Genomic DNA, 21555 nt, shown 5'->3' on the forward strand with positions numbered 1-21555 from the left:
CTCCCACTTTTCTGTAAGTCAATCTGAAAAAGAATCAATTTGCACAGAATTTAGTGTTATAGGGAAGTAATACTTAAAGTTAATATGACCCCCCCTTTAGCAACATACATAACTCTTGTGTTATGTGGGAGTCGGGCACAAATGGTAAGCAGCCTGGAAATGACCACAACTTTGTTTCTTTCACATGACAGCAGCACCATGGATGTTTGCTGAGCTTGGGGAACTTTTGGGGGGTGAGGCAGAATGGGGAGGAAGCAAGCCACAGGCTGTGAGATCCAACAGAGGAACCAGAGAAGGAAGAGGAGAATGTCAACACTGGAGTCCCTGAATCTAGAAGTCCTAGAGTCCTGGAAAAGCTCAGATAAGGAGCAGAATGCCCTGGAAGCGCTAGGCCCTGAGACTGTGGATGAAAAAATGCCCTCCTTGGCCCTTTCAGTTTCTGATCATGACTTTAGTGGGTATAGCTAAGCTAACCCAGGCTTTTCAGCTCATTTATTCCATTTAGTGGATATACATGTGAGTGAAATCGTGTCCGCCTACAGCTAAGGGAGGAGTTAATGGGCAAAGCTGTCACTTAGCCAAGGACTCACTCTGCTTACCTTCAGCTGTACTTGGATACACCCTGGATATATGCAGGGATCTGAGGGAGTGAGCACCTCATGTATAGATGCAGCAATGCTGGTCTGCCCCCTTCCCCCTTCTCTTATATTTCTGTGGAAAACAGTCCAGAAAATGCACAACCCCCAATTACGTAACACAGTACTTTCTGTGACTACAGTGGAGTCCCCTCCCTAAACATTTCCCTTAATTTCAAATTAGATGGTACTGCCTGTGCCTACCCAGATTTCTTGCTGAGAGAAGAGGCTAAACATGAACAGGATTTCTAGCCACCTCAGGATTTTCAAGGTTGCACCTGACCCTGAGTGAGGGAGCTTATGCTCCCTGGAGACAAGGAGAGAATCTATTTGTGATCTCTGGGCTGAGTATCTACTGTTTATGAATGGAAGGAGTAGTGAGATGCTCTTAGCTTTGCCCTTTTTTTCCATCTCTCCCTATTATATAAGTAAAGTTGAACTTTGTGGTTAGAAAGTGTGTGTGGGCTAGGAGGCAGGTGAGGATGAAGATGGGTGGTGTTGGGGCCAACAACCACACTTGACTGATGCTTTTACCCATAGCCCCATGGCCTCTGAGAACTGAGTATTCCCTCCTTTCATACAGAAACCAGGAAGGAAGCTGAGCATAGAGGGAGAACTGTCACTGAGAAGGTGGCATGTGACTGGAAGATGAACCCTTTTCCCTTACAAGCAAGGATAGGAGAGGAAAGGGGATGAAGTTGCAAAGTCATCTTAAACACTTTTCTTCTCCATATGTCAAAGCCAGGACACAGGGATTCATAAATAGGCACTGTAGCTGACTTCTGGCAGAGAGCACAATGGGTCCCTAATTTTGCCTCAGTGATTAGATGGACATTTGGTCTGTTTCCTGTGCTTTTTTTTTTTTTTTTTCTGAGATGGAGTCTCACTCTGTCACCCAGGCTGGAGTGCAGTGGCGCCCTCTGCCTCCTGGGCGCAGGCAATTCTCCTGCCTCAGGCTCCCGAGTAGCTGGGATTACAGGCACGCACCACCACGACTGGCTAATTTTTGTATTTTTAGTAAAGACGGGGTTTCTCCATATTGGCCAGGCTGGTCTCGAACTCCTGACCTCAGGTGATCCACCCGCCTCAGCCTCCCAAAGTGCTGGGATTACAGGCCTGAGCCACCATGCCCAGCCATTCCTGTGCTATTTCGAATATTGTTGTTAATGACTTCAAAGTTATTAAAAAAGTAAAAAGTACCAAGGTTTTCTACTTTCACGTTATTCAAGATCTTAACTCCTAACTTGTGTGAAAGGAAAGATATTGAAAAATTAACTGATATCATGAGTGAATTTCTAGGAGATTCAATTTGATTAAACTCCAATATTATCTTTAATAAAAAACTTGACATTTCCCTTCATATCTGAGAAGACACACTTTACCTTGTTGATAAAATTGAAAGAAAAAAAACCCATTCTCCATGGTCACTAACAGAAACGTCTTGCTAAATCCTCTTGCTTATTTGAGGGCTGTGGTCCATCAGTGACTGACCAGACAATCGACTTTCTCGTGCCTCAGTTTTCCTCATAAGAACTTGGGTTGGAGCCAATTGAGAGGTAATATTCCCAGTAAAAATTAAATGCATTCTGAAAGTGAATTGACTGCCAAGAGTTTTGAGTAATCCAGCACTTCTTCTAATAATCACCACTCATAATGGAATTTGTGTCCTTAAAGTTATGTTATTCTTTTCAAGGTGTCACTGGTTGAAAACCATTTGGCCGGACTGGAAGGAAGGGCACTAGCAGACATGTTTGACTTCCTGTCCAAAGAGCTGGTGAGACTGCAGGAGGAGAGGAGGATCCATGCCTTTGTCATGCTGGCTGAGCGCCAGCGGCGGGTACGAGAGGCTGAAGAGAGTGGTCGGCGCCAGGTGGAAAAACAGCGCCTGCGGGAGGAGGACGAGATATTTAAGGAGGCAAGTAGGGGCAGCTGGGTGTGTGGAAGCTGCCTAGAAGGAGCCAAGTCAAACCAAAGGAAGCTCATGACATAAAATGGCATTTGGCTTTTGTTTATGCATTGAGTTCCTACTGTATGCCAGGCACTCTACAGAGGCACTGTGGGAAACTTTGGAGGAAAAAACCCAGACACGATCCCGTCTCTCCTAAAGCTTAAATAACACATAATACGCACGTGTATAGAATTAGAAACTGTAATGAGTTCCATGAAGGAAACAAATAGGGCCCAGAGACACATTTTAAGCCAGTTACTTCACTTGCTGTGTGGAGCACAGGCTGGAGGGAGGACAGAGGGGGAACAAGGCGGCCAGGAAGGAGCTGTTGAAGTAGTGAAGGCCAGAGTGAGAGACAGGAAGTCGAGTATTACATCCAGTTTCGGGCTTAAGCAGCTGGAAGATGATGGTATTATTTCGTGAGGTAGGAAAGTTGAGAGAGGAATAAGCTTAGGGGCAGGGGAGGAATCAGGAAATCAGTTTATATTTCGTTTGGGACATCTAAGCAGAGGTATTGTTTCAGTAGATGGATCTACAAGATGGAATTTAGAAATGAGGGTTTGGCCGAAGATGTAAATTTGGAAGTTGGTGACCAGCTTCTAGCCTCCTACTAATCTCAACACACTTTTCTTCAAAAACAGTGACTGAGATTTAGAAATTATTGGCAAATCAGAACTTGCCATCCTTTACCTAATATCACTAAGGAAGAACCAGCTGGGGATGAGAATAAGAAGAAATGGAACAGAGGAGCTACTATACACAAAAGCAGAGAAAGGAAAAAGCTGGTAAAAAAGCTTCTTAGGAAGATACCTTCTAAATGGGAATGATGTCAGAAAACATCAGCTCTGTCTAGCAAGGGCAAGAAAGGGTTAATATAGCCTTTCTAGCCTGATTTAAGAACCACTTAGGTAAAAAATGTACTCAGCTATGGACCCACAGATTCAAATATCATCCATATGTTAATTCTCAACCTTCCTAATTAAAATATAGTGACTATTTTCCATCCTACTTCCCCAGCCTCCATTCAGATTCTCTTGAAGAGAAATATGCTTGCACATAAATTATAAACCAGAAATGTAATATTTAATAAATTTCCAAAATATGCATCTAGATAGTGAGAAACACAGATATAAAGTCATCGACTCATCTTTAAATACATATAAATTTTGCAGGCACATACATGAGGACATATTTACAAATATAATCTGGTGTGCACAACATTAGCAAGACATAGAGGAACACACATAGCCACACTTTTCCTTATTCACATACATACACGCACAAACGTCTCCAGAAATTTACACATTTATAAAGATATACATAAACACACAGGTACATATACAGCTATGGATGGACCATAGTAAACTTTCCACCTCTCTACTATTACGTGACTGAGCTAATTGATCCATATAGATCCAACTTGCTTCCTGAATAAGAGGGTGGGCTCTATGAGAGCATGAATATTGTATATTCCCTTTGTGCCTTGCACAACACAGTGTAGATCCCTGTAACTAATAGGCATTCAGCAGATATATTTTGGTTGGTTAGTTGTTTGGTTGATACTGTATTAAACTGGCCATTGAGACTCTCCCATAGAGAAGGCATAGGGATTGAAGGTTGATGTTTTACACATAGGTGTACAGTATCATATACTCAGAATTGTGCCAAAGTGCCAATCCACAAACAGGTACTGAATTGTTACTGAGTCCCAGGCATTATCTCAGATACAAAGCTATATTTAGACATGAAACAGAAAAATGCCCTACCTCTAAAAAGCTGATAATCTGTTGAGGAGACAGCATACATATACAGGCAAAACTAAGTATGCCACAGTTGATGCTTAATCTTTCTATATACATACACCTGTAAAGCGGGCAAAACTAAACTACTTTGTTTATGGTTACATACCTAGGTAGCAAAATTATAGAGAAAAGAAAGTGTTTACTATGAAAGTGGGAAGGTGCTGTGGTAAAGGAAGAAACCATGGTGGCCTTCTGAGATACTGGCAGTTACTATAATACATGGCTTCTGACTTTACCCTAATTCATTACACTGTACATTTATGTGCTCTGTACTTTTTATTTTGTTTTATTTTTCTAATCTCTGAGTTTGCTTGCAATGCACTTTTAAAATCTGTATCCTATTTCATGATTTCAAGTAAACTTTAAAAAGAAGCAGTCAAGGGCTGGTATGATAGTTCAATAAATTCATTAGAGACCCAGGATCCTTCTAGCTTTCTGCTCTTCTGCTCCTAGGTCGTAGGCCTTCTGGCAATTTAAGATGATTGCTGGTATTCCAGCATTATGTCCTCATGAAAGGAGAAATGAAGAGAGAAAAAAGGAAGCCAGGTCTTTCCCTTTAAGAATCCTTTCTTTGGTCAGAACGTGGTCATATGGGCAATCCAGCTCCTGTGGGTGCTGGGAAATGTAGTCTTTATTCTAGGCACCTGTTTCCCTAGCTAAAATCCAGGGGTTCTATTATGTAAGAGGAAGGAGAGAAAGGACACTGCAGAATACCTCCTAGTCTGTGCTACAGTTAGATAGTTTGACCAAGTCACGTTGCTGGTAAGAACAAAGCCAGGATTTGAACCAGCGTTATTGACTCTGAAGCCCATAATCCTTCAGCAGTGCTGTCTTGCCTGCCTGCCCAATAAGATCCATAATTCTGAAATGGGCTAAATGGGTGTGGGCTGCCCAGAGTGAGTAGGTAGGTGGATGAGAAACAGACTGATGAGATGCTAAAGAAAATGAATGATTAGTGAAGGGACTGTTGACTTATTAAATGAAATATATGAGCTAGAAAAAGTTAACCAATGTTTGTGTATTTTTCTTGTGTTGTTTACAACAGCATACCTGTTTTAGTGAGGGTATTATTGTTTTTTGCAGGTGGTTAAAGTTCACCATAGTACTATAAGCTCCTACCTAGAAGACATAATACTGAATACCGAAGCGAATACTGCAGAAGAACAAGCCAGGGCAGAAATAGAGAAGATGGCTGAGAAAATCAATGACATTGCTTATGAAATGGAAAGCCGGTGTGTATCAAGAGAACAGATTGTAGAATGGACAGCCCATTTGCTGGTACTCATATATATTTTTTCAAGAGCTTACAATTTCACCACCAAGTAGAAACAAATAACTCATACTTCAGCGTCCATTGTTTTATTAACATTAACTCTTGAGAAGCCAATATGTGTATGCCTCCGTATGTATTCTCAGTTATCCTCTGCAATCTGGATTACTCTCATTACTTACTTTAAGAATACTCGGAAGCATGAAAACAATGTGAATACGTGTGTGCAACATTACTGGGACTTCATCCCAAGGTTGCTGGCTTCTATGTATAAGCTGTGTTTCCAACATTCCCTTCCTGGCAGGCAGGGTAACTGAAGGACAGGGTCAAATCCAAATTTTTTTGTGGAGTTAAACAAACTTGCCAGGAATGTGATATTTCAGATCACTTAATCAAGGAAAAGGTGATGGTGGGGTTTGAATGGAGTTGCTTACACAGCAGGAAAGCATAAATCAGCAGCTCAAGTGAAAAAACCAAAGAAATAATTCAATTTGTTTTATATTTTTTAGCCGAACCTATCTTCAGTCAGAGGAGATTGTTGCTGAGTTGGTTTATAGTTTTCTGATCCCAGAGGTGCAAAAATACTTTGTCAAAGAAAAAGGTAAGCCAATGTAAATGCTTTACTTTAGGATTTTTTAAAGATGTAAATTATTTTCAATATCCCAGAGATTTAAAATTAAACAGAGGGATGAGGAAATTTCTAAAGGAGGATCACTGAGTTTTCTTATTTCAGAGCTTGTCAGGTTCTCTTCATGCTGCCTGATTCTAGAATATAATCAACTCTAGTACAGATGGGTTGTAGTTCTAATAAGAGTGACAGTATCAAAATCCAAACCTTGTTTAAAAGGATGTTCCCAAGTTTTCAGAAGAGCTGTATTTTTTTATTTATTTTTTTAAAAAGCATAAAACAGATATTGAGCATATAAAAGATTTTCACATTGTAGCAGCCTTTCAGAGGCAGGACACGTGAACCGTGAATGTTAAAAAGGAAGGGTGCTAGAAAGGTCTAAGTCTACCCTGCTGCTCTGCCTGTACCCCAAATAGCTTATTTCTGCTGGAACTCCATCCAAGTATAAATATCCTAATTTATCATTTGTCACCGGTGGCATGTTTTTAAAGATTGATGCTTTTAGTCAATAGAGAAAGAGAAAATACTATCTTAAACAGAAAAATAAGATTCTTCCATAGCTCTGAGGCTGCTGATGGCAGGCTTGATCCTAGACAGAGGGGTGCAACCAGGAGAAGACCAGTATTTAAGTGAAATAGCAGCTCAGAAGTATTGAAAATTATACCGGGGAATTCCAGATGGGCTTAAGCAGAAAAATGCTTAACATTTCAATTTGCTCAATCAGGGATAAAGAAATGGTGGAGTTCTAACACATTTGGAGAGGACAAAGAAATACCTGATTTTTCCATTGCATGGTTGTAGTGTAATTTTTAAACCAGTACCCCCTAAGGATAAGCATTTAGTTTGTTTCCAGTTTGTTTTCCTGTTACTAACAGTGCTTCAATCAATATATTTTACACATATCCTGACCATGCTTCTGAGAGTACATTCTTAACAGTGCAATTGCTGGGATATAAGGTATATGTATTTTACATTTTGATAGATAGTACCAAATTTCCTTACAAAAAGATTGTTCTACCAATTTGATATTACCAAATTGCCCCACAAAATGATTGTTGACTTGCATCAATAGTGTATGATAGTGCTTATACAAAAAATTAATTTTCAGATCAAGTAATATATTTCTGTGTCACATTATGTTATAAAAGGACCTTATGTTTTCTAGGACCTTAAGAAAATATGCAACTCTGTTCCACTTCTCCTGAGTTCAAAGTGAGGCCAGCCTGCTTCAAAGCCATTACACCCTTGGTTGAATTCCACCCTAGGATTGAAAGAGAGGAGGAAAACTGGGTTTAATATTTACTAGTTTGTGGCCAGGTGCAGTGGCTGAAGTCTGTAATCCCAGCACTTTGGGAGTCTGGGGCGGGAAGATCACTTGAATCCAGGAGTTGAGACCAGCCTGGGTAACACAGGGAGACCCAGTTACTACAAAAAATATTTTAAAATTAGCTAGGTGTGGTGGTATGCACCTGTAGTCCCAACTACTCAGGAGACTGAAGTGGGAGGATCACTTGAGTGCAGGAGGTGGAGGCTGCAGTGAGCCGAGATTGTGCCACTGCATTCCAGCCTGAACACAGAATGAGACCCTGTCTAAAAAAAAAAAGAAAATTTACTAGTTTGTGATCCCCTCTCCCATGTTGGGAGTCTGAGTTGAGGATTTGGAGGAAGACTTGAGCTAACGGAATCCAGTGGAACTTATCTATGGGCAAGTTGAATGAGTCCTTAGCCTCTTCCCTTTATATTTTTGCCAAATCAAAAAAGCCATATGAACAGGGAGCACACTAGGACCTTTTTCTCTCTGTTCAAATGAGAACCATATGTATTATATATACACTCTTTACCCAAAATTAAGATGATAATATATACAGACGATTTTGAGGTATATCACTTTTTGAAAAGCCAATGGATCAGAAAGACCTTAAAGATACCTGTATATAGATATAAAGTAATAGTAACTGCCAAATTTTAAATGCATGCTAAGTTCCAAGAAGTTCACTGAACATTTTTAAATGTACACTATCTCAATTTCTTTCAAGAGTTGTAGGTATATTCTCATTTTTCACTTAATGGAAATTAGCTCTTAGAGACATATGACTTGCAAATTTGAACCATGGTCTATGTGACTCCAAAGCCCCCACTTTTTCAACCATATTACTGTGAAGTGCTAAAAACTGCTGAGTGAATTACCCTATCTAAACTACCTGATACCCAAACAGCAAAGAATCCACAGTACTTCTTGCGGTCCTTTACTAGCTATTTGACTTTATGTAAATTACCTAATATCTCTGTGTCCATGTTTCTTCTTCTGAGAATGCGGATATTAAAATACTATCTTCTAGGAGGATTAAATGAATAATTACATGTGAACTGCTTAAAACAGTACCTGGCACAAAGTAAGGACAAATGCTAACTGTTAACATCATCATCATCACTACTCCTTTCCAAGGGCTTAGGTGCTTACCCTGATAGTGAATATTCTTAGAATTTGGAGCTAGGACTATGTTCTAAAGCCATGAGCTCATAAACTCATCATCAATCAGTAAGTCCCTTCCACATTAAGAACTAAGGCTCAAAGAGAAGTATAAGACTAGGTCTTTATATTTGTAAGTTACTTACACTCTAGATATCAAACGAAATGTAACTCACATGAAGTGCTTCAATGCTGAATAGGTTGGTACAAACTCAAGTGCGGTAAGTGGTAAATCTGGGCTGATGTAGTCAGAGGAGACTTCCTGGAGGATCTTGGACATGAGCTTTCCAGGTTTTAGAGTGCAGGCATTCCAGATGAGGGAAACTGCTGAGGAGTGGAATGGAGGCAAGCCTGGTGGAAAGGAGTATGACTGGGCTGAACCAGAGAGTGGGAACAGAGGGAGCAGAAAGAAATTAGATTTGGGTTGGGTTTTACCTTTAATTTGCAAAATTATTTCTATCATGACTCTCTTGAAACATTTGGGAATGGTTTTGTTCAGACTTTCAGAATGAAAATTTTTCTATTACTTTGGCACAGTGAGGAACGCACAGCGGAAACATATTCTTGCAGCCCATCAGATCATCCACAGTTACACGGAAAGCATGGTTCAAAAGAAATTAACTGAGGGAGAGCAAGATGAGGCCTCAAATGCTGCCATGTTACTTGAGAAAGAAACTCAAAATGAGAACAACAGCTAAGGTGAGTTTGATTTTCCACCAGGAAAAAAAGCAGAGAAAGGAAGAAAAGCGGCATTGTTCAGCTTTGTGCTGTGCTCAAACAATCATAATGTGAAGATTGCTGTTTAAGAAATGGAGGACTTCCACTTAAATTGGCACATTTCCTCTAGTTTATGTTATCTACTGTTGAGATTATTAGAAAATTAGAGTTGATATTACAGCAATTAGACTCTTGTGATACAAAAAAGAGGACTCTAAATTATTTTTATGGGTTCTTTTAGCATGTGTGTACCTCGTCAAATGAAGCTATAGAATGTGTCAGTGTTACATATAAACAATCTTGTTCTTATGGAAGTAGACAAGGTATGCCCTAATGCATTGTGCTAGCTGTAAGCATGGCATGAGACACAGAGCCTGCCCAATTCTAGCTCAGACACCTTCTGCAGTGCCCACAAGGGGTTGGTCTTGGGCTCAACTAAAGGCTGTCATACTCATGAGACTAATACAGACCATATTTGGCATGAATGTACTTAGAAAAATATAAGACAGGAAACAGCTTCCAGCAAGGCAACATCAGACATTTCTCTTCCTGTAGGAGCCCTTGCCATACCCATGCAGAACACATAGCTGTTTTCTTTAGTCCTTAGTTTACGGAGTGCAGATACAATACAAGGAAAAGAGGTTCACACCGGGTGGGTACAGGAGCTGCCCTGGCGTAAAACTTCACACCCCAGGGGCTGGAATCTCTTGTAATAATTCCATAGGCATAGCTTCCAGGGTCCCCACCATGGATTTGCCCAGCTACAAAAGTCAACATACTCACAGAAACTCAAAGCTGTGGTTTTCTATTAGGTATACATTCCTCCCAGTTCAGATGGAATTTACCAATCAGGGGTCATTTTTAAGTAGTTCAAATTGCTTAGTAACACAGTTGACACATATCACCTTATCAAGTTACTAGGAGAATAGAGCTAGGGAGTCAACTGAAAGTAAAATTCTCATGAGAAGGGGAATGGAGTGAACTTTTTGCTTATACTTTCTCCCTCAACCCTTTTGTGGTAGAGGCACATCTGCTGCTGTTTTGCCCTGAAGGTATACCAACCATCAGGTTGGGGAGAGTACTGGGGCTAGGGAGAAATTTTAGTTTGGCATTCAGAAGTTTTGTATATTGTCCAGCTCTGCCACCAATTGTATAATCTTACACAAATAATTTCTCTACTTCAGTCCTTGGTCCAATAGAATGGAATCTTAAGTCTCAATCAAAAGGAATCATGGAAGGAGGGTTGAGATGAGAGGGAAGGTAAGAAATATTGCAGAGAGAAAGCTAATAAGTGACTCTTAAATATCAAACTGTGGCTGTAAATTACAGCAGAAAAACTTTTGACTTTAATAGTAAAATAACCTCTGAAATAATTGAAAATATAAAACATCTATTACATGTAATGTTATATATTGTCTATAAAATGTAAATTCAAGGACCAAAGCATTTGGCTACCTTATTATTGTGATAAAAGCAAGCCTTAAGGTTGGGGTAGTCATTTTTCTGACATGCAAATTTAATAAGATTAATAATTTACACAATTTGCATTGAATGCATCTGCCTTTACTTCTGATTATGGTACCTACTCTATGACATCCATAGTGACCTGTGAAATCAAGCCAGAGGAGAAAAAAATCATCTTCTATTTATACTTAGTGAAAGTAAAATATATTTCATTAAAGCCTATGTAAAGCATATATGATAATTATAAAATCTAGTTGCAGAAAAGTCTAGTTGTCAGGCTAACTACAGACACTCAACAAAGATGACCAACCAATAAATTAAATGGTTGGAACATGAAGCTAAGCTGTCCCCAAAGTATATCCTCCCTCTTCCTTCTTGCAGAGGGAAGCAGAGAATGACAGATGTGAGATTATTCAATGATGTCTAGGGAAAGGGGCAGTAGTCATGGGCCACTGATTTAAAATACATATTTAAAAATACATATTTTTAATTAGCTTGAACAGAGAGCTAATAAAGTAGTGAAGAATTTCTGGGCCAAGATCTAGGAGAAGATAGAAATTTAGAGGGTTGGGTCTGGCATTTGGAGCTACTTTTTTCCTGGAAGAATATGACAATTCTAGAAAATGTGGCTGAAAGGCTGAGGAGTATTTTTAAAAGCTTTGCAAAACAAGGGGGACAAAAAACTTGAGTCAAGGTTGGGGCCCTGGTAAACCTTCTTCATTTGGGTAGGGACTCTAAAAGTCTATGCCCTAGTGGTAAGGGTTAACTGGAAGTAAACTATCCCTGGCATATGATATAGTTTAGCTTCTAATCATCTGAGTGATTTTAAAAATCTCAATCCCAGAAATTGAACTTAACGAGATCCTTGGTTTCTATTGCTTCAAGGAACCTGCCAGAAATAAAATGTAAATTCTCTTTACAGAAAGTTAACATTATTCTAGACCTCTATTTTCACAATTTCTAGAACACAATCAAGAATATTCAGGTACGTGAGGAGACATGACAGTCTGAACAAGTGGCAAAACAATAGATGATAGAAACAGACCTAAAAGGATCTAAAATATTGGAATCGTTAGACCCAGACTTTATTTTTTCCATAAGTTATTGGGGTATAGGTGGTATTTGGTTGCATGAGTAAGTTCTTTAGTGGTGATTTGTGAGATTTTGGTACACCCATCACCAGAGCAGTATACACTGCACCATATTTATAGTCTTTTATCCCTCATCCCCTTCCCACTCTTCCCCCCAAGTCCGCACAGTCCATTGTATCATTCTTATGCCTTTGTGATTAGACACAGTCTTTAAAATAACTATGTTGACTACTGTGGACTTCTATCCTCCAGAACTATGGGAAAATACATTTCTGTTGTTTAAGCCATCTAGTCTATGGTGTTTGGTTATGGCAGCCCCAGCTGACTAAGCCAGATTTTGGTACCAGGAGTTGGGTACTACTGTAACAAATACCTAAACATGTGGGAGTGGCCTTGCCACTGGTTATGGGTAGAAGCTGGAAGAGTTTTGAGGTACATACTATATATATGGACATTGAGGGTGATTCTGGTGAGTTGTCAGGTGGAAATATGGAATATGTTATTAGAAACTAGAGGAAAGGTGACCCTTATTATAAAATGGCAAAGACCTTGACTGAACTGTGTTCTAGTGTTTTATGGAAGGAAGAACTTGCAAGCAATGAAATTGGATATTTAGCTGAGGATATTTCTAAGCAAAGTGTTAAAGGAGCAACTTGGTTCCTCCTGACTGCTTATCATAAAATGTGAATGGCAAGAGATGAATTGAAGAAGGAAATGTTAAGCAAAAAGAAATCAGAATGTGAAGATTTGGAAAATTCTTAGCCTATTTATATTGGAAAAAACGAGAAAGCTCTTTCCAATGTGAATGCTAAGGGTGGGTTAACAGACATTTGATAAGTGTATGGGATCATATGAGCAGAAACATTGCAGGATGAAGTTAAGGAAGCCTATTGATTGGACTTCTTGAATTAGACAGGATGGGATGATAGAACTATTCAGCTGCAAACATGCACTATTCTTCAAGAAGAAGGAAAAATGATTCCACAGGAGATCCAGAGATCATCAGGGCCATTGTCCCAGTTTCAACAGCCAGGTGGCTTTCACCATGAGCTTTGGAAGAAGGACCACCCAGTGGACCCCAGCTCAGCAGAGCTATGGGGTGGGACCCTGGGTCAGCAGAGCTACAGGGACAGGACACTTACCTAGAGCCATGGGGATGGGGCATTGTAGAGTCAAAGGGGCAGAGCCATGGGAATGATGTTGCCACCCCAGTGGGCTTAGAAAGCAAGACACTAAGCCAAAGAAGACTATACTCAAGAATTAAGATCCAGTGGAATTTGCCTTGCCAGGTCGTGGACTTGCTTAGGATCCATCACCCATTTTTTTCTTCTGATTTTTCCCTTTTGGAAGGAAATATGTCTCCTATGCCTCTCCCACCATAGCATTTTGGAAGCACATAGTGTGGCTGGTTTCACAGGCTCATAGCTGGAGAATAATTTTGCCTCAGGACAAGTCATATCTTGAGTCTCACCCGTACTTCATTTGGATAATATTTATGAGACTTTGAACTTTAGACTTTAGAGTTGACATGGGAATGAGTTAAGATTTTTGGTATTGTTGGTATAGAATGAATGTACTTTGCATGCAAGAAGAACATGAATTCTACCTGGGGTAGAATGCTTGTGGATTGAAATGTGTCCTTGAAAATGCGTATGTTGAAGCTATAACCCCCAATGTGGTATTTGGAGACAGGACCTTAGGGAGAGAATTAGGTTTAGAGAAGGTAATGAGGGAAGAACCCTCATGATGGGGTTATTGCTTTTATGAGAAGAGACATCACAGTGCTTCTCCTCTCCTTCTTCCACTCCCCCTCTGCCATTCTCCCTCTCTCTCTCTTCCTTTCTCCCTCTCTTCCTCCATCTTCAATGTGAAGACACAGTAAGAAGGTGGCCATCTAGATGACAGGAAGAGAACTCTCAACCAAAACTAACCATGCTGTCACCTTGATCTTGGACTTGTAGCCTCTAGAACTGTGAGAAAAGAAATTTCTGCTGTAAGCTATCCAATCTATGGTATTTTGTTATGACAGCCTGAGCTAAGACACTTACTCTGTTCACAGGGTAAATGCCAATATTGAAAATTTCAAGAGAACTGGACATAATAAAAATGATATAGCAGATTTGAAGAAAATAGAAATTCCAGAATTTAAAAATACAGTAGCAAAAGTGAGAAACTCAGTGAATCTCTCCTGAGAGATATTTAGAAAGAAGCACAGAAAGACAAAAGGATAGAAATTACAGAAGAGAGAGAAGGATAGATTTAGAATAGCTTAATGATTTAGAAAAGGAGAAAGAGTGAGTAGGCATGGACCACTGATTGAAGAAATTTCACTACTAAAGGAAGGAATAATATGTTGGGAGATCATATGGAATACGAATTTTCCAAAAACGATAAAAGACTTGTTTTCAAGAAGACTTCTTAACCCTAAGCAGAATAAATAAAAAGAAAACGATACCTAGATACACCTTAGAATACTAATACTGCTGAAAGCCAAAAAGAAAAAGAAAAACCTTTAAAAGCATTCAGAGAAAAACGATAAATTACCTTCATAAGAGCAATAATTAAGCTGACAGTTGACTTCTCATCAGAAACAATGAAAGCCAAAAAGATGGAATGATATGTTCAATATATTGAAATAGTAAAATAAAGTAGGATTCTAGGCAAACATATTCTTCATGCAAACATATTCTTCAAGAATGGCAACGAAAGACATTTTCAGACAAATGAAACTAATAAAATTTGTCACTAGGAGATCTGCAACACAAGAAATTATTAAAGGGTACTTTTTAAGCAGAAGAAAAATTATCCCAGTTGGAAGGTTGGAAATAAATTTAAGGACAGGTATGTGGATTGGCTTATTGACTGCATAAAAAAATTATAAGAAACAGCAATAATAGGAGCAATGCAGTTATAAAACAAAAGAGTAATATATAAGTCAGAAGAGGGCTAAATGGATTAAATTTTTCTAAGGCACTTGCATTGTTTAGGAGGAGGATAAAAGTATAAGTTGACATTGATAACTCAATGATCCATGACAACTCAAGGATACATTTTGTAACCTCTAGGGTAACTCTGAAAGGATAATAAAGAGATATATGACATCTAAGCTAACAGAAGAAAATGGGACTAAATTTTCAAAACACTCAATACAAAAAGTGGATAGAAAGGAGAAAAAAGGAAACAGAACCAATAGAAAGCACTGAATAAAATGGTAGATGCAAACCAAATTTTATCACTGACTACATTAAATGTAAATAGACAAAATATTCCAAGTAAAGTCAGAATTTACCAGACTGAATAAAAATCATACTAAATTATATGCTGCTTGCAGGAAGCCTATATAAAATCTAAATATACAAATGGTTGTAAGTTAAAAGATTGAAAAAGATACCATAAAAACACCACCCATAGAAAAGCAGATATAGCAATATTCATATCAAAGAAAACTTTAAGGCAGAAAGTATTAGAGAAAAAGAGGGACATGCCATAAAGATAAAGGTCTAATTTATTGGGAAGATATAATGTCACAATTTAAATATACTTAATAGCACGGCCTCCCCCTAAATGTAGCAAAATTTAACAGAACTGCCTGGAGAAATAGACAAATCCACAATAATTCTGGGAAATTTTAATCTTTATCAGGAACTAACAAGCAAGTGGAGAGAAAAAACATTTAAAAATGAAATATTTGGCTGGGTGCAGTGGCTCACGTCTGTAATCCCAGCAATTTGGGAGGCCGAGGCAGGTGGACCAGTTCAGCTCAGGAGTTCGCAACCAGCCTGGACAACATGGTGAAGCCGTGTCTCTACCAAAAATTAAAAAAAAATTAGCCAGGCATGGTGGTGTGTGCCTGTAGTCCCAGCTATTCGGGAAGCTGAGGCAGGAGGATTGCTTGAGCCCAGGAGGCAGAGGTTGCAGTGAGCTGAGATCATGCCACTGCACACCAGCCTGAGTGACAGAGCAAGACCTTGTCTCAATAATAATAAAAATAAAATTAAAATGGAATATTTTAGATACATAATTTTTAAAAACTTGGCCTAATGGACATTTATAGAATATTACGCCCAACAACTACAGAATGCATATTCTTGCCAAGGGCAGAGGGACATTACCAGGGGAAAGAGAAACCAGAGGAGCTGTGTGGGCTGGCCTGATGGATTGGGGTACAGAGGAGCCCCCAGAGTAAGGCCAAATTTTCCCATATAATGTTAGCTTTAGGTTTTCGGTAGATACTGTTTTTCTGCTTGAGAAATGTTTGAATATCTCTTGTTATTTAATGAGTTATGTCAGTAATAAAATTCACTCAGTTCCATGGACTTAACCATTGACACTTCTATAATTTTTTGTTTTTTATGGGTTTTTATATATGTGTGTAGTTTGTTTGTTTGGTTGGTTGGTTGGTTTTTGGTCAGAAAGAGATGCTGAATATTCTGACTTGCACCATCATACTGACATTCAGTGATTCAGAGTGGTAAAGTTTCAGTGTGACTTTTTTCCAGCTCAGGGCCAAGATTGAGATTTTTCTAAGTAAGAACACCATCCTCAGCTACTGTTACAGAACACTGAATGGCTTTGGAAATTGGCTATTGCTGCAGACTTGGTAATATTTTTTAATGAATCTATCCTAATGTTGCAAGGCAAGCAAAACTTACATGCAGAGCTTATGCTATAGTAAAGTCCCTTCATTGGCAACTAACATTATTTGAATCCCAAATAATGTATTTCCTATGCTATGAAAAGTTAAAACAAGAAGGAAGATCTCCATTCCTACATATATTTGCATTGGATATATTTTCTGAGCCTAAACTACTTTTCTAGTAGCATTTTTGGACCTTGAAACAAGTGCAAAGGAAATTTCAAAATTATTTATCTGCAATGGAAGCATGTTCATCTTACCTTCAAGTGGAAGTAGTTAATCTGTATTGTAATGACCTGCTAAAAAGAAAATATCAAGAGAAGAATCTAATAGAATTCTATAAATGCCTTCCAAGCAATAAATATGGATATTTATATAAAAGTATATAATTGTGGATGGATACCAGTATTGGCCATACTGTTCTGAATGAAAAGACATTTTCAAAGATGAGATAGGGATGAGATGAGATAGGGAAAAATCTCATTTTCAAAGATGAAATGAGAAAGAGGAAAATCTAATTACACATCACTATTAATAAATGAACATTTGCAATCAATTTCAATGACTTGAACCGAAATTAAGCAAAATGTTATTCCCCCAAATAAGAATTCCATTCCTTTCATTAAGATAACTATATTACAGAAAACTATAGTCAATTATTAGTAGTGTATTTTGAATTTTATAAAAAATGTTGTGAAAATTTGTTTTCTCTTTTGTTAAATGAGTATCCTTGATTTTGTCATTTGGCTCACAAAACCTAAAATATTTACTATTAAGCCCTTTTCAGAAAAAGTTTATCATTCCTTACTCTACAGCAATTACAATAAAGTAGAACTAAATATAACACATGGAAGAATCTCACAAATATGATAAGTACCATAATAAGCCAAATCCAAAAATAATCCACAGTATGAATTTATTTATATAAAGTTCAAAACCAACAGCATTAAACTATAGTGTTTAGGAATGCATACTTAGAAAGTTAAGGTGTAACAAAATGCAAGAAAGTGACTACTGTAAAAATAAAATAAAAATCAGAATAGTGATTACCTTTAGGAGGTAAAGAGAGGATTGTGATTGGGAAGGGGTAAATGGGAGCTTATGGAATACTATTTCCTGACCTGTGTGATATTTACACAGATGAGTACTGTACATTAATTTATTAGGCTGCACATTGCTTTTAGGTACTTTCCTATATGTGTCATATTCTACAGTTGAAAGTAATACAAAAACATATGAAAGTATAAAACTCATTGGTAAAAGTAAGTACACGGTCAAATTCAGAATATTCTAATACTGTAATGATGGTGTGTAAATCACTTTTTAGTATGAAGGTTAAAAGACAAAACTATTAAAAATAATATCTACAATAATTTGTTAAGGGATACACAGCATAAAAAGATGTAAATTATGAAATTGAAAACACACGTGTTGAGGAGGGTGGATAAAAAGTGTAGAGTTCTTGCATGCAATCAAATTTAAGTTGTTGCCAGTTTAAAATAGCCTATTGTAACTATAAGGTGTTTTATATATTCCTCATGGTAAGTACAAAACAAAAAACCTATATTAAATACACAAAAGGTGAAGAGTAAGAAATCAAGGCATGGCGCTAGAGAAAGTCACCTAATTACAAAGGAATACAGCAAGAGAGGAAGAAAGGAATAAGGACCTACAAAACAACCATAAAACAATGAACCAGATGATAGTAGTAAGTCTTTATCAATAATTACCTTGAATGTAATTAGATTAAATTCTCCAATTCAAAGACATAGAGTGGCTGAGTGGATAAAAACAAACAAATGAGACCTAACTATGTCCAGCCTACAAGAGTCTCACTTCACAGTTTAAGGACTCACATAGACTGAAAGTGAAAGGATGAAAAAAGATACTCAATGCAAATGGAAACCAAAATAGAACAAGTGTAGCTAAACTTACATCAGATAAAATAGGTTTTAAGTAAAAAACTATAAAATGAGACCAAAAAGGTCATTGTGTGGTGATAAAGGGGTCGATTCATCAAGAGGCTTTAACAATTATAAATATATGTGCACTCAACATTGGAGCCCCTAAATATATAAAACAAATATTAATAGATATGGAGGGAGAGCTAGACTGTAATACAGTAATAGTGGGGACCTCCAGTATCCCACTTTCAGCAATGAACAGAACATCTAGACAAAAAATCAATAGAGAAACATCAGACTTACACTACACCTTAGACCAAATGGACCTAACAGACATATATAGAATATTCCATCCAGCAGCAGCAGAATACACATTCTTCTCAAATACACACAGAACATTCTCCAAGACTGATGACTGATAATAAGCCTAACAAACTTAAGAAGATTGAAATTATAGCCAGTATTTTTTCCAACCACTGTGGTATATAAAATAGAAATCAGTAACAGGAGGGATTTCAGAAAATTCAGAATTACATGGAAATTAAACAACATGGTCCTGAACAACAAGAAGTCAAAGAAGAAATGAAAAGGGAAATTAAAAAAAAAACCTTGAGGCAAATGAAAATGGAAACACAAGACATAGTTATGGGATGCAACAAAAGCAGTTCTAAGAGGGAAATTTATAGCAATATGTGCTTGCATCGAAAAAGAAGAAAGATCTCAAGTAAACAACGTAATATTACACCTCAAAGAACTAAAAAAAGAACAACAAATGAAACCCAAAATTAGTAGAAGGAAAGAAATAATAAAGATTAGACCAGAAATAAGTGAAATAGAAACTAGAAAAATAATAGAAAAGATCAACAAAACTAAAATTCGGTATTTTGAAAAGATAAAATTGACAAACCTTTAACTAGACTACTTAAGGCCAAAGAGGGAAGACTTAAGGAAAATCAGAAGTGAAAGAGGAGACATTACAACTGATACCACAGAAATGCAAAAGATAAGACTACTATAAACAATTATATACCAACAATTTGGACAATCTAGAAGAAATGGATGTCTAGACACATGCAACCTATCAAGATTGAACCATGAAGAAAATAGAAAATCAGAATAGACCAATAATAAGTAAGAAGATTGAATCAGTAATGAAAAGACTCTCATCAAAGAAAATCCCAGGCAGGACCCAATGGCTTCACTGCTGAATCCTACCAAATGTTTAAATTTCAGTCTTCCAAAAAAATTGAAGAGGAGGGAATACTTCCAAACTCATTTTACAAGGTTAGCATTACTCTTGTTTCAAAACTAGACAAGGATACTACAAGAAAGAAAAATTACAGGCCAATATCCCTGATTAACGTGGATGCAAAAATTCTCAAAAAAAGTAACAAACTAAATTCAACAAATTAAAAGGATCTTTCACTATGATCAAGTGGGATTCATCCTACAGATGCAAGAATGGCTCAACATACACAAATCTATAAATGTGATATACCATATTAACAGAATAAAGGACAAAAATCACATGATCTTATCAATAGATTCAGAAAAAAAATTTGACAAATTCAATATTCTTTCATGACAAAAAAAACTCTTAACAGATTCATTATAGAACAAATGTACCTCAACATAGTAAAGTCCATATATGACAAACCCACAACTAACATCATTCTCAACAGTAAAAAGTTGAAGCCTTTTCTTCTATGATCAGAAACAGACAAGGATGCTCCACTCTTGCTACTTCTATTCAACATAGTACTGGAAGTCTCAGCCAGCACAGTTGGGCAAGAGAAAGAAATAAAAGGCACCCAAATTGGAAAGGAAGAAGTTAAATTGTTTTTCTTTGCAGGTGACATGGTCTTATATATAGAAAACCCTAAAGACTCCAACAAAAAAACTAATAGAAATGATAAAGTAATTAATTTACGGGTACAAAATCAACATACAAAAATCAGTAGCATTTCTATACATTAACAACAAACTATACAAAAAAGAAATCAAGAAAACAATCCCATTTATAATAGCTACAAGGAAAAAAATAAAATACTTACTTAGGAGTAAATTGAATCAAGGAGACCTGTACATTGAAAACTATCAAACATTGATGAAAGAAATTAAAGAAGACACAATTAAATGAAAAGATATCCTGTGTTCATGGATTGGAAGAATTAATATTGTTTAAACATCCATGCTACTTAAAGCAATCTACAGATTCAATGCAATCTCTATCAAAATTCCAATGACATTTTTCACAGAAATAGAAAAGGCAATCCTAAAATTCATATGGAACCATGAAAGACCCCAAATAGCTAAAACAATCTTGAAGCAAAAAGAACAAAGCCATCACACTACCTGACTTAAAAATCTACTGCAAAGCTATGCTAATCAAAACAGCATGGTACTACACACACAGACCAATGGAATGTAATAGAGAGCCCAGAAATGCACCCACAGATTTGTGGTCAATTGATTTTTGACAGAGGTGCCAAGAACACACAATGGGAAAAGGACAGTCTTTTCAATAAATGATGCTGAGAAAACTGGATATCTACATACAGAAGAATGAAATTAGAACCTTTTCTCCACACCATATTCAAAACCCAACTCAAAATGGATTAAATACTTAAGCATAAGTCCTGATACTGTAAAACTGCGAGAAGAAAACATAAGGGAAAAGCTCCTAACATTGGTCTGGATGGTGATCTTTTGGATATGACTCAAAAGCACAGGCAACAAAAGTGAAAATAGACAAAAGAGATTACATCTAACTAAAAAGTTTCAGCACAGCAAAAAACAATAAACAGAGTGAAGAGACAACCTGCTAAGTGGGAGAAAATATGTACAAACCATACATCTGGTAAGAGGTTAATATTCAAAATATGTGAGGAACTCAAACAACTCATTAGCAAGAAAATAAATAACCCAATTAAAAAATGGGCAAAGGACCTGAATAGACATTTCTCAAAAGAAGACACATACAAATGGCC

General features: G+C 37.4%; 1 protein-coding gene across 4 annotated transcripts in view, besides 1 other annotated feature; it reads left to right on the forward strand.

Moving 5' to 3' along the window:
• CFAP91 (cilia and flagella associated protein 91) overlaps positions 1 to 21555 on the forward strand; it is a 64081-nt gene that overhangs the window by 38625 nt on the left and 3901 nt on the right. For all 4 annotated transcript variants that reach the window (NM_001320316.2, NM_033364.4, NM_001320317.2 and 1 more), the window contains 4 exons: positions 2329 to 2550; positions 5469 to 5617; positions 6165 to 6256; positions 9291 to 9452. In NM_001320316.2, the coding sequence (NP_001307245.2) occupies positions 2329 to 2550; positions 5469 to 5617; positions 6165 to 6256; positions 9291 to 9451 (624 nt within the window). In that variant the 3' untranslated portion in view covers position 9452. The remainder of the gene's footprint in view (positions 1 to 2328; positions 2551 to 5468; positions 5618 to 6164; positions 6257 to 9290; positions 9453 to 21555) is intronic.
• Positions 5696 to 5990: a silencer, noted in NCBI's record as "tiled region #6912; K562 Repressive non-DNase unmatched - State 24:Quies". NCBI's record gives its function as "represses a minimal TATA promoter and a strong SV40 promoter by Sharpr-MPRA in K562 cells {active_cell/tissue: K562}" and the evidence as "EXISTENCE:reporter gene assay evidence [ECO:0000049][PMID:27701403]".

The sequence above is a fragment of the Homo sapiens genome, chromosome 3 (assembly GCF_000001405.40).
Source record: "Homo sapiens chromosome 3, GRCh38.p14 Primary Assembly".
Lineage (NCBI taxonomy): Eukaryota > Metazoa > Chordata > Mammalia > Primates > Hominidae > Homo > Homo sapiens.